General features: G+C 40.5%; 3 annotated features.

The window, feature by feature from the left end:
• Window positions 2,467-2,992: an enhancer, noted in NCBI's record as "NANOG-H3K27ac-H3K4me1 hESC enhancer chrX:9112641-9113166 (GRCh37/hg19 assembly coordinates)". NCBI's record gives its function as "activates a minimal SCP1, AML or CMV promoter by ChIP-STARR-seq in naive and primed H9 embryonic stem cells {active_cell/tissue: H9 hESC(naive and primed)}" and the evidence as "EXISTENCE:reporter gene assay evidence [ECO:0000049][PMID:30033119]".
• Window positions 2,993-3,517: an enhancer, noted in NCBI's record as "NANOG-H3K27ac-H3K4me1 hESC enhancer chrX:9112116-9112640 (GRCh37/hg19 assembly coordinates)". NCBI's record gives its function as "activates a minimal SCP1, AML or CMV promoter by ChIP-STARR-seq in primed H9 embryonic stem cells {active_cell/tissue: H9 hESC(primed)}" and the evidence as "EXISTENCE:reporter gene assay evidence [ECO:0000049][PMID:30033119]".
• Window positions 12,408-12,908: an enhancer, noted in NCBI's record as "H3K27ac hESC enhancer chrX:9102725-9103225 (GRCh37/hg19 assembly coordinates)". NCBI's record gives its function as "activates a minimal SCP1, AML or CMV promoter by ChIP-STARR-seq in naive H9 embryonic stem cells {active_cell/tissue: H9 hESC(naive)}" and the evidence as "EXISTENCE:reporter gene assay evidence [ECO:0000049][PMID:30033119]".

Here is a 13,353-nt window from a genome sequence, read left to right as displayed (position 1 = left end):
AATCCCACCAGTTAAATAGAGGCTGAATTCTCACAGTGAGTCCCTTGCATGATTTGAAAATATTGTTTGAATATTATTATAGCTATGCTTGTGGTCCTTCAGTTAAGCATCAGGCTTTTTTACGCTCTATAAGTGAAGGTTACACTTAGCGGTATGAGTCCTTCACCTAGAAAACCATGGCCAAAAAAAAAAAAAAAAGCTGCAGCAGATTTTTGTTACATTCTGCAAATGGTGAGCATGTAATAAGGCTCCTGCTGGCTATGAAGAAGAGCTTGGTATGCTGCTGAGTGGAATGGAGCCACCGAGGCCAGGAGGGCCGCCTGTGAGCACTGAAGGGCCTGCTGTGTGCCAGGAGCTTCCATCTGCCTCATTCATTGTCTCTCAGGACAATCCTGGAATGTACTTTGCAGAAAAGGAAACCCAACTGTAGAAAAATTAACTTCTCCATGCTCACCTCACTTATACGTAGTAACTAGGATTTCAATCCAATTTGCTTAAACTCAGAGATTTTTACTGCATTTTGCTCTCAGCAGTGTGGGAACACCTGGCCCTCGGCTCCCAGAGTAATCTGATTTCCCAACACCAACAGAGTTCTTTTTCTTTTCTTTTTTAAAAAATGGGGTAAAATACACATAAAGTTGACCATTTTAAGCATACGAGTTTCCGGCTCAGTGGCATTAAGTACATTCACAAGATTATTCCTCTGTCTAGTTCCGGGGCATTTTCATCATCCGGAAATGAAATCCTTATCCACTAATCAGTCACTGCCCTTTTCCTCCTCCGGCAGCTCCCGGTTACTACTCATGTGCTTTCTGTGTCTATGCATTTACCTATTCTGGACATTTCATATCAATGGAATCATACAACGTGTGGCCTTTTGTGTCTGACTCCATTCACGGAGCATGATGTTTTCAAGCTTCATCCATGTCATAGCATGTGTCAGTCCTTTATTCCTTTTCTGGCTGAATAATGTTTCATTGTCTGGGTAGACCACATACTGTTTATTCATGTGTAGATGGACATTCTGCTGTTGCATATGTGAGTGTGACAGAGTATGTGTGCATGCGTGTGCATCCAGATGTGTGTGCATGTATGAGTGTGTTTGAGGGCATGTATCTGCATGGGTGTGCATGTGTGTGCATGTGTATGTGTATGTGTGTGTGTGTATGTACACATGTATTTATTCTTTTGTTCTGTCTACAGACTCCACTCAGTCTCAGTATTCTCTGCTCCCTCATTCCTTCCATCTCTCTGATCTTCTATTGCACAGTAGCATCCCTGTTAGACTTTCTCGGATGCTCTGATGTGCAGCTTGCCTGTCTTCTGCCCTGTGGTACCCTCTACAAATGTTCTAGGCTGCAGCCTTCTCTTCTCAGTTGTGTGAGTAAACATTCCTTCATTTTCTCTCTGTCTTTAGACCATTGGTTCTTCACGAGGGTGATGGTGCCCCCAGGAGCTACTTGATAATGTCTGGAAGAGATTTGGGGTTGTTGTAGTTGGGGGTGAGGGAAGATGCTACTGGCATCGAGTGGACAGGGACCAAGTGTGCTGCTAAACACATATTACAGAGATGCTGCCCTCATAATCTAGAATTATTCAAATGTCAAGAGCGCTGGGATTAGGAAACTTTGACGTAGAATTTTGTTGGAATTGCATATCTGTCAATAGCTTTACACCATAACATTTTTGTTGTCATGGATTTGTTATTTTGATCACCCATTTACCATCAATTTGAGAAGTCTTAAGAGAGAAACGATGTAAAATATGCGCTAAGTCTGCTTTCTTGAATGGGAAGCCTGTGAGCTATATTGTTACTTATTTCAGTTCATATTTCCAAAAAGGGGCATGGAGTTCTGCAAGATTATAAATAATCTAATATCTCTGTCTTAAATATATGCAATGAACCAAATAGGACTTTATAAATTCTTATTTTTCACTCTTTCTTATTTTCATTCACATTATCATTCTTCTGTACACATTAGAAGGTAAGAATTTGGGGGTATGGAATTTTGTGTATGGAAATATGTCAGACATAAAATTCAGTCGTACTCCAATGCACCAATGCCATCCCAAGAAAAAATAGTTGTTTATAAAAATGTGCATGAACTAGGCAGCAGTATATTCCTTCCAAACAACATTTTTGTGAAACTTTTTTTTTCCAGTGCCACAAAGAAACTTGGACATTATCTCAAAGCATTTGTAACAAGAAGCATTTGACCTTTCATTTCCTTTTTAATTGCCAAGATATTGTTTTCCTTTTACATTATTCCACAGAGATAAACTTAGTGCTACCCTTCGCGCGTGAGCCTCTCACTCCACCTTACATTCAGGGCTCCAAATAGTATCACCATGAGCATAGCTGATTTCCAAGCGCTTCCTCGTCATGGTTTCTGATAGGGAAATTCCCTCTGTGCTTCCTCCTATTGGGAACATCTGTTTTGTGTCTCTCTGGTGTTTGGTGACATAACATAATAAGATGGCAGGAGGCAGAAAAAAAAAACAACATGTTGCAATAAAAATGTCCTAAAAAGACACTTAGTTCTATTTATTGCTTCACAGAACATGCAGGAAGAGAAGTTAGAATGAGTGCTAGCATGGAAAGTCAGAGGAAGACGTCCTGTGGCTCAATTATGATTTGGATTTGGTTTTGTGTGGTGTAAGGCGCTGAGCAGGACACCAAGCGGAGGAGTGTAGCCCGGGGGTGTTTCCTCACGCAGGTCAATTGCTTTATTTCCGTTTAGGAGTCACAGAAGTGAAGTCCAAGCCCCAGTGTGTGGCTCTTGTCAGGCAAATCGGATGCATGGGTAGAAGTTCATCGTTAGGATCAGAGAAGCAAAGCAAGTGCTCATTCTGATCAAAGGGTATGCCGCCGACAGGCATGAATGAAACCGAGCTACCATCTATTAAAATGCCCGGAAACCACGGATGTGTCTTAATAAGTCAGCTTTGGTCGTTTGACAACAGCGGAGGCAGGTTTGTGAATTGTTTGCCAACAGGGACACTTTAGGTGAGTGCTTTGGAAGAAAACTTGATCTTCAGAGAAGATCTTTACTGCCATAGGTAAAAAGTAGCGCACAGAAATGGATAGCAAGTCAGAAATGGTTTTCTGAGTTTCTGAGGTTATCTGGGATTTTTTTTAGAGTTAGGAGAAAAGCCTCCTTTCTTCCCAAAATACCTGGACCTACCTGGAAATGTGAGACTGGCATGAGGCTATTTTGGCTTAATTTTTTCAGAGAATGAGCCTGAGGTAGGACATTTTATTGCGGAGAGTAACCCCCATGGGCAGGAACCACGGACAAGGTGGGTTGGGCAGGAAGAGAGGAGGATCTAATTCAGGAGCGATTTACCCAATGGGTCACTACCATGGGCTACTGGTTACTCCATTCAATGACACTGTCTCTGAAGGGTAGGAATGTTTTTCAGACCAGCCAGCCAGGGTGAGGAAGGGAGAGCATCTGTCACCTGGCTCCAAACCCCTCTGGTCAAACATTCGCCCTCAGCAGGCAACTATTCCCCTGCATCGCGGAGTGTGCAGTCAGCTGACACCCATGACCCCAGCAGAGATGCCCTTAGGGAGAAGGAAGGCAGGAGGCTCCCGGCATGAATCTGACAGGTATCAGGGTGCAGCTGCATGGAGCTTCTCAGAGCCTGTGCAGAGCTGGGTGATGGCACAGGAGACCAGAGAGGCCAAAAGCTTCTGAAGAGCTGTGTAAGAGACATCCTACCCAAAGACACAAGTGCTCAGCTTTATTCATCACTTGGGGGACCTGGAGCTCTTAGATCAGGCATGAATCTAATAGTCAAGCAGGGACCATAAGGGCAATATGAACAGAAATAAGCATTAGCTCTTTCATAGTTACAGAAAAATCTTGTATCATTTTATCTTACCAAGTTTTAAAATAATATATTTGTTTTCTAGAATATGCTCTAGGAATTACAAAAACCATGGATTAATGTTTCCAGAATGGTCTTCTCCATGCTGTGCATAAGGGACAGATTTCCTTTTGCCACTATGAGGCTAGGAGTGGACACCAGGCTGACATGATGCATCCCAGGGCTCCTTGACCTATGCCCTGGGCTCTGTTTTGTAGAGAATCATGTGCGTTCTGCAATGCACATTTGGTTTTACATTTTAAAAGTGGTAGAGCTAGTTAGTATTAGAGCTTTTTACTTTTTCATATATATATATATATATATATATATATATATTTTTTTTTTTTTTTTTTTTTTTTTTTTTTGAGACAGGGTCTTGTTCTGTCCCCAAGGCTAGAGTACAGTGGTGCAAGCATGGCTCACTGTAGCCTTGACCTCCTGGGCTCAAGCAATCCTCCTGCCTCAGCCTCCTGAGTAGCTGGGACTACAGGTGCATGCCACCACACCTGGTTAATTTTTTATTTCCTCTTTTGTAGTGATGGGGGGTCTCACTATGTTGCCCAGGTTGGTCTTGAACTCCTGGAATCAAGCAGTCCTCCCACCTCAGCCTCCCAAAGTACTGGGATTACATGTATGAGCCACCACACCTGGCCCTCATTTTAGTACCTTTAAATTATAAAATATGTGTGTGTGTGTGTGTATGTATGTATATACATTGAAAGAGAATTAAGAACAAATTTTTCAGAATTGCATATAAAGACTGTGGATCTATACAGCAAACTTCTGTACCCAGCTGATGGAAGGAACACATGTTAGCATTTTTACATATTTTCATAAGATTTAAGAAATTCTGCTTCAGTTCCTCCATCCTGCTTCTCCTGAGTTAAGCATTATCCTGAAGATTATATGTCAGTGCCCGTTTGTATTTTACACATGTATATGTGCTCAAAGCAACACGGATTTTATGGAAGTGCTGGATATATCATTTTGTGGTTTAGCTATGTTCACCTAAAAATATATTATTGATTGGGAGGCTGAGGCGGGCAGATCACGAGGTCAGGAGATCAAGACCATCCTGGCTAACACGGTGAAACCCTAGCTAACACGGTGAAACCCCGTCTCTACTAAAAAATACGAAAAAAAAATTAGCCGGGCGTGGTGGCGGGCGTCTGTAATCCCAGCTACTGAGGAGGCTGAGGCAGGAGAATGGCGTGAACCCAGGAGGCAGAGCTTGCAGTGATCCGAGATCGTGCCACTGCACTCCAGCCTGGGCGACAGAGCAAGACTCCATCTCAAAAAAAAAAAAAAAAAAAAAAAATATATATATATATATATATACATACACATATATATGAATATATATGTATATATATATGTGTATATATGTATATGTGTGTATATATGTATATATGTGTATATATGTATAAATGTGTATATATATATATGTGTGTATATATATATTATTGAAAATTTTTTTTTTTTTGAGACAGAGTCTCGCTCTATCTCCTAGGTTGGAGTGCAGTCGCGTGATCTCAGCTCGCTGCAACCTCCACCTCCCGGGTTCAAGTGATTCTCATGCCTCAGCCTTCTGAGTAGCTGGGCTGACCTTTGTATTTCATTTTGTATTTCGAGTAGAGATGGGGTTTTGCCATGTTGGCAAGGCTGGTCTCGAACTCCTGACCTCAGGTGATCTGCCCGCCTCAGCCTCCCAGCGTGCTGGGATTACAGGCATGAGCCACTGTGCCTGGCCTATTATTGAAATTTATCTGTGTGGATACCTGCTGTTTTAATTTATTTATTCTGTTCTTTGGCAGCCTGTTGTATAACCACTTCAAAATTTTATTTACCCATTTCTCAAGAACTGAGGAGGGTCTAAGATTTTACCCTACTTTCATGTGAGGAGTTTTGCCAGCCACAGTACCTTGGATACTGACAGCAATCATGAGACTCTTGGATCAGACAATGGACTCTGTTACTCACGTCACAGTGAACAGCAGGAGCTTCATGTTTTTACCAGTTCTCTTTGTGCCTGGAATTCCATGGAGGTGATGTGGAGGAGTCCACGTGTTTGCTACACATGCAGTCAGTTGGTGTCATAGCAGAGGAACCCTGAAGTTAGAAAACTCAAATCTTTTACAATGGTCAGTAAGCCAGTCTGCTTAAACTTTGCTCCAGAGGGAGACACTATTACTATCTTCTGAGGCTGTTCACCATACAAATACTCTTGAAAAGATCATCCAGAACAAAAGCTGCCAGTGCCTCTGCTGAAAAAATGTGCAGACATCTGAGAGAGCCTCATGGAGAATTGTCTCCTATCCCAATACAGTAATTGGCACACGTCTAGTTTGTTTGCAATTTTCCCCATTACAGAAAGTGTTTAATGGACATTTTTCTGTATGTTTCCTGGCAAGAGTTTTTCTGTGATGTGTACCTAGGAATGGAAGTGCTGAGCTCTGTGTATACGGCCCTTCCTCATGGTTCTAACTACTAGAGCTTTATAGTAAGTCTTGGTATGTGGTAAGACATGCCCTTCCTCCCTCTTTTCAAAGTGTCCCCAAAAGGCTATACCTAGGTCTTTATTCTTCCTTAAGAATTTTTCAACTGCATTAGATGTTGCCACCTTATCTTCCAAAGCTGTTGTTGCAGTTTGTCTTTCTCCCAGTGATATATAAGAAGCCCATTAATTCATAATTGCCAAAACTTGTAAGAAACCAATATGTCCTTCAGTGGGTAAGTAGATAAACAAACTGTGGCACACTGGGACAATGGACTATTATTTAGCAGTATAAAGAAATGAGCTATCAAGCCACCAAAAGACATAAGAGGAAACTTAAATGCATATTGCTAAGTGAAAGAAGCTGGCCTGAAAAGGCTACATACTGTATAATTCCAAAGATATGTCATTCTGGAAAAAGGAAAACTATAGAGACAGTAAAAGGATCAGTGATTACCAGGGTTTCAGGGGGAAAAAGGGAGCAACAGTCTGGACACAGGGAGTTTTCAGTGCAGTGAACTTATTCTGCGTGATATTGTAATGGTGGACCCAAGTTATTATACATTTGTCAAAACTCATAAAAACTATAACACAAAGAGTGAACTTCAATGCAAACTATGGACTTTAGTTAATAAATTTCTTAATGTTAATTCATCAGTTGTAACAAAAGTACCAAAATGTTGACTGTGGAGGTGGTGGAAGGTAACAGATGGGAAGTCCATACTTTCTGTAGCTTTTCTGTTAATCCAAAACTGCTGTGATAACGTCTGTTTAAAAAGTTCATTTCTTCATCTTTGCCAGTGTTTTGAATGCCAAACATTTGCATCTTCACATATTTGATGGGTGTGAAGTAAAACTGTATTGCTTTAATTTTTATTTGACTGATGGCCCTTGGGGCATACTTTTTTCATATCCTTTATTTTTTTCTGTCATATTTTTTTCTTCTGGATTTTTAGTACTTTTTTTATGTTTTGCATTTCACCTTTAGGAATTTAATCTGATTAGAATTTATTTTTGTGCCTGGGGTATGGTTAGGTAGATAGATAGTTGATAGAAAATAAATAAATGATACATAGATGACAGATGATAGATAAGCAACAGATGATTGCTAGATGATTGAGAGATGATAGATAGATGATAGATAATAGAAGATTGATAGATGATGAGAGATATTTGAATCTATGTAAATGAACACCAATTTATATATTTTTTTAACTTGTATTTTAAGTTAAGGGGTATATGTACAGGTTGGTTACATAGGTAAACTTGTGTCGTGGGGGTTTGTTATACAGATTATTTCATCATCCAGGTATTAAGCCTAGTACCCATCAGTCATTTTTCCTGATCCTCTGCCTCCTCCCACCTTCCACTCTCCAATAGGCTCCAGTGTCTGCTGTTTCCTTCTATGTGCCCATGTGTTCTCATCATTTAGCTCCCACTTATAAGTGAGAATATGCGGTATTTGGTTTTCTGTTCCTGCATTAGTTTGCTAAGGATAATGGCTGCCAGCTCCATCCATGTCCCTGCAAAGGACATGATCTTGTTCTTTTTTATGGCTGCATAGTATTCTGTGGTGTATATGTACCATATTTTCTTTATCCAGTCTATCACTGTTGGGCATTTAGGTTGATTCCATGTCTTTGCTATTGTGAATAGTGCATGAACAGCAATTTATAAATTTCCTGGTGTAACTGTACACACTGTCAGGTTTTGTTTATCTATCTCTATCCCCCTTTCTCATGGTTCTAACTACTAGGGCTTTATAATATTTCTTGGTATGTGGTAAGCCGTGTCCTTCCTCTCTTCAAATTGTCTCCAAAAGGTTATGCCTAGATCTTTATTCTTCATTAAAAATTTTAATATAAATTTGTCAAGTTTTATTAAACTCTGCTGGGTTTTTGTGAAATTCATTGAATTTGTAGATTCATTTTGAGGAAAATGTCATCTTTACCATATTGAATTACCTTCCCATCACATCAGATCCAGTTTTTTTAAAAACTGGATTTAAAAAAAGTTCTTGTACTTTATTTATTTATTTATTTATTTATTTATTTTTTGAGATGGAGTCTCACTCTGTCGCCCAGGCTGGAGTGCAGTGGTGTGATCTCGGCTCACTGCAGGCTCTGCCCCCTGGGTTCACGCCATTCTCCTGCCTCAGCCTCCCGAGTAGCTGGGACTATAGGCGCCCGCCACTGCGCCCAGCTAATTTTTTGTATTTTTAGTAGAGACAGGGTTTCACCGTGTTAGTCAGGATGGTCTCGATCTCCTGACCTCATGATCCATCCGCCTCGGCCTCCCAAAGTGCTGGGATTACAGGCGTGAGCCACCGCGCCCGGCTGTTCTTGTACTTTAAAATTTTATTTTCTCAATTAACATACAGTGAAATTTACTTTTTAATGCACACAGCTCTATTAATTTTATACATGTAGCCACCAGTCAAATGAGGATATAGAACAGTTCTGCCAGCCCTGAAACTCTTGAATGCTATTCCTTTGTAGTTACGTCCTCTCCATCCCAACTCCTGCAATGGCTGATCTGTCTTCCAGCGCTACAGTTTTTTCTTGGAGAATGTCATATAAATGAACTTGTGTTAAGACTGGCTTCTTTAGCTCATAATGCCTTTGAAATTCACCCAAGTTGTATCAATAGTTCATTTCATGTGATTGGTGAATAGCACTCTGTTGTATAGATAGGCCACATTTTGTTTATTTATTCACCAAGATGAAGGAGATTTTTGTTGTTTCTTGGTTTGGGTGATTATGCTTAGACCTGCTCTATACATGCATATACAGAAGTTTTCATTTCTCTAGGGGTATAACCCAGGAGTGAGATTGCAGGATCTTCTCTTATGTCCATACCATAATCTCCGTATAGATCTTGTACCTTCTTTATGTGATTTGTGACTAGGTAACTTACACTCTTTGTTGCTATTGTGAATGGGATTATTAACATATTTTTTCTGGTTGATTGTGGCTGGAACCCTGTTGATGTTTGTTTAGTGACCTTGTATCCAAAAATCTTGCCAAACTCTCTTATTAGTTCCAAGAGCTTCTTTGTAGATTCAGTTAGAATTTTTGTGATTTGACAGTCATCTTGTCTGAAAATTATGAAGATGTGAAGTCTTTTATTAAAACTATGTGTGTGTTCTGATTCCCAGAACAATGGTGAGTAGAAAAGGTGACAGAAGGTATCCTTAGCTTATTTTTTCTTGAGCAAGTTAGAGTGGGTCAGTGGTCACAACTTCCATGTGTGTGTCCTTCTCTTTTGCTTTCTTTCCCTTTTCCTTTCCACTCAGATCAAGTCCTCTGGACTAAGGAGCGGGCAGTAGAGTTAATTTATCTGTTGTCTGTTCTCACCACTGTACAGGGCAAGGTCTTCTGTGGGACCCATTAGATTTCTCTTAGAATGAGAACAAAAGGCCAGGTGTGAGTTCCTAGTGTCACAGTGACGTGAAGGCGTGCACGAAAGGTTTGGTGTCTGATACCTATTTTCTTCCCTAGTCCCAGTGTGCGCCTAAAAATCAGCCCGGGAGGCCTCCACAGCTTCTGAGGTCTTCCACGTTTCCAGGTGATTTGAGATACTACAAGCAAGCCGGTTCTTTTGTTGCTTTCAATGGGAGGTTGACTTTAGCCTGTATTATTGGAAACTGGAGCTCCTCCATTCCTCGATGGAGTTTTTCATGCCAATGAAGCTATGTACGTTTCTGTGTGTGGGCATGCGTGCGCATTTCTAGAATTCTGTGTAGTGTTTCTCTAAATAGTTCTTTTCTTAAAAAAAGAATACCTTGTTATTGCACTGTGGTTTCTATCCTTTCTCTTTCCTCTTCCCTCCTTTTTAGAAGCTTATTGTGTTGTCTTTTTTAGGTGGCATGATGATTCCCAGTCCTCGGCTGCTCATTCTCCCTGCTTGTCATGTTTGTGTGCTCTCTCAGCTCCTTTTGTGCTTGCCTTCTTTCTTCTTTCTTTTGCTCCTGCTGGTCCCCCTTGAGTTTTTAATGTTAATTTCTTGGTTTCAGGTTCCAAACGAAATGAACAAAGCTGGGGGCCTGTACCCTCAACATAGCACGATGCCAGATTTTCTATGTCATATGAAGCCTCTTTGCTTCCACCTGTGTCACCCAGGCCCTGGGGATTTGAAAAGCCTCCGTGTCCCTGGGCCAGTGGATAGTTCTTCCCATCTCTATTTCATGGGTGGGTAACACATGTGGACTTCTGGATTTCCCTGAGACCAGTACTAGCTTAGTCACTTTGTATAGGCCCAAGGCCATGCCTCCTGTCTTCTTGCGAGCACCGAGACCCCAGTCCACAGATCCGATCATACAAGTCACACACTCCACTGTGGTCTTGTTACTGTCTGCCACTTATGACTCTACTTTGATCGCTTCTTTGTGTCTGGTACCTAGGACATTCCCCACCCAGTCTGCCCTCTGCCCCAAGCTGGAATATGCATATATTTTGTCCAGTTTTGCAAAGTCTTTGCAGAACGAGTAGGGTCTGTCTGTGTCAGCTTAGTCTGCCGTATTGCCTAGAATTCCCTTTTGCCTTACCAAGTGGCTCAGCAGCTATTTTAGTGACGGGGCAATGGCTATATCATAAATGAGGATAACAATGGAAAAAATACGACTGTCTCCTTAATAGCTTCCTCCTGGTCTTTCAAATCCCTTGGGAAGAGAAATGGGATGTAAATAAACACCAATTTCCCCTTATAGTTTGCTCAGGCAATGTGGACACTGTGCCAATTTGGTGCTAAATAGACATTTTCGCTAATGAAATAAATTTCTACTTCACTTTAGAGGAAGTTTGCTCTTCAAGGACGCTGAACTACTTTCATTCTTAATAAATGTATTTGTTTGCAGATACTGTCATCGCCCGAGCTTAAGCCTCTTTTGGTTAATGGGCCCCACATGCCTCTTGGGTTTCTAAGCCCTGCCTGGGGATTTAGCTCTTATCATGATTAGTGTTAGTTTAATATTTGGAAATGAAAGCACATTCATTTCAATTATCTATGCAAAATATTTTCTCTTTATTTTGAGTATCTTTCTCATTTCCTTGTACATGACATCTCTATCTTCAACACTGTTTGTTATATGGATATCTTAAAGACTTCGGCACATTCTGGGCTGGCTCTTTCTTTAAAGCAATGAGTCACCGAGTCTCCATCACAGAGCCATTTGGCAAGATTGTACTATATAAATATCTATTTTAGAGTTTTGTCTAGTAGTGTAATAAATAGAAGAACATTTTTAGATTTTGGTCAGGAAACAATATACTTTATAAAGATTTATTTTCTGGAATTTCATAGGTTTCAATGCTTTGAACATTTGATATCTAGATCCATACATTGATGTTCATACTCAGTTTTACAACTTGACTTATGTTTTGGTATATCCTTTTTTTTTTTTGAGACCGGGTCTCACTCTGTCGTCCAGGCTGGAGTGCAGTGGCACAGTCTCAGCTCACTGCACCCTCTGCCTCCAGGACACTTTCACATAAATTTCATCTCATCCAAGGATGATAAAGAAGAACCTTGAATGAAATGAAGTTCATCTTGAGTTAGAGCCTCCCAAAACTTGAACCAATTTTCCTTTGCTACCAATGTCTGGTAATAAGTTTGGGGCTTTAAAAACTGTAATAACTTTCTCAGGCCGAGAAAGGTAGTAAATCTAGTGCAAATCCATTTAAAGGTTCTGGGCAAGACATGCTTAAGAATCCAAAAATGGATGATGAAGTAGCTATAGTGGCTGAAATTAGATGGTATTTCGGGTACTAAAAATACACACATAGATGTGGAATAATTAAACATAAGTACAATATTACAACATAGCAGACAACTGGAAGTCTAAATTAATATCAATTAGATAAGAATAAGTTTAAATATGTGAAAAAATACAGTGCCATATAATATAACTCTGAAAAGGACAAAAATGGGAATTCCTTAGTTATATAAAATGGGATACTGAAGAACAAACAAAAATGGAATCAGAGCAATGGATAAAAGAAATGCAAATCTCTAAAAATTTATACAGAAATATAAATATTGAGAGAAAATAAACTTCTTTTTCCCGAAAAGCGATTTAAAAGCAATCTTCCTGATTGGTCACCTACACATTAAAGATACCGTAAGATATTGTTGCTCAATGTGTCAACTTGTGTCCTGGAAATTCTCAGACAGGTAAAATCACTCTCGGAAAGAGAGTGTATGGCTGGAAGGTGGGTTTGCACTTCATAAAAAACACAAAGGCCTGAAGGAAGTCTCAACATCATATGCATGTTGAGGAGACAGAAGGGGACATTCCAGGAAAGGAAAGTGGTGAGAGTCAAGGGGTGGGGGCGGGGATGGTCTGCATAATCCCTGCATGAAGCATTGCACCAGGAGGTTTTTGTAAGACTCCTTTCTGGAAGCTAAAAAGAGGTCTGGCAAAGAATAAAAAATTGAGGAGAGGACCGAGGAACTCTTTTGAAGTATATGAGCTATCTGTTGCTGTGTGACAAATGGCCCCCACTTTAGAGGCTTTATCTCAAGTTTTTCTGTCAGGAATCTGGCGGTCATTTAGCTGGGTCCTCAGCATCTGAAGATGTTGGCCAGGACTGTGGTCATCTTTAGACTTGACTGTGGAAGGATCTGCTTCCAAGCTCACGCACGTGTTATTGGCAGGATTCCTTTGCTTGCAGGCTTATTGGCTCGAGGGCCTCAGTTCCTTGTTGGTTGTTGTCCCAAGGCTGCCTTCGGTTCCTTGCCATATGGGCTTCTCTACAGGGCAGCTCACAACCAGAGGCCTAGGATAGAAATAAACGAAACTACCATGTGAAAAGAAACAGCAAGGAAACTTTCATGTCTCAATCATAGCACTAGGTAGAGGGAGGGGAAAAAGATTTTGAACCGCAAGCAGATTTATATTCTGAGTTGACACCACCCATGTGGTCTAAAATCTCATGAAGAAATTTTAATTTAAAATGCTCTTAGTCTATCCCAACAGTGATCAAAAG

Source organism: Homo sapiens, chromosome X (genome assembly GCF_000001405.40).
Source record: "Homo sapiens chromosome X, GRCh38.p14 Primary Assembly".
Lineage (NCBI taxonomy): Eukaryota > Metazoa > Chordata > Mammalia > Primates > Hominidae > Homo > Homo sapiens.
The sequence above is the reverse complement of the archived record's forward strand: the minus strand, read 5'-3'. Positions and strand labels throughout refer to the sequence as shown.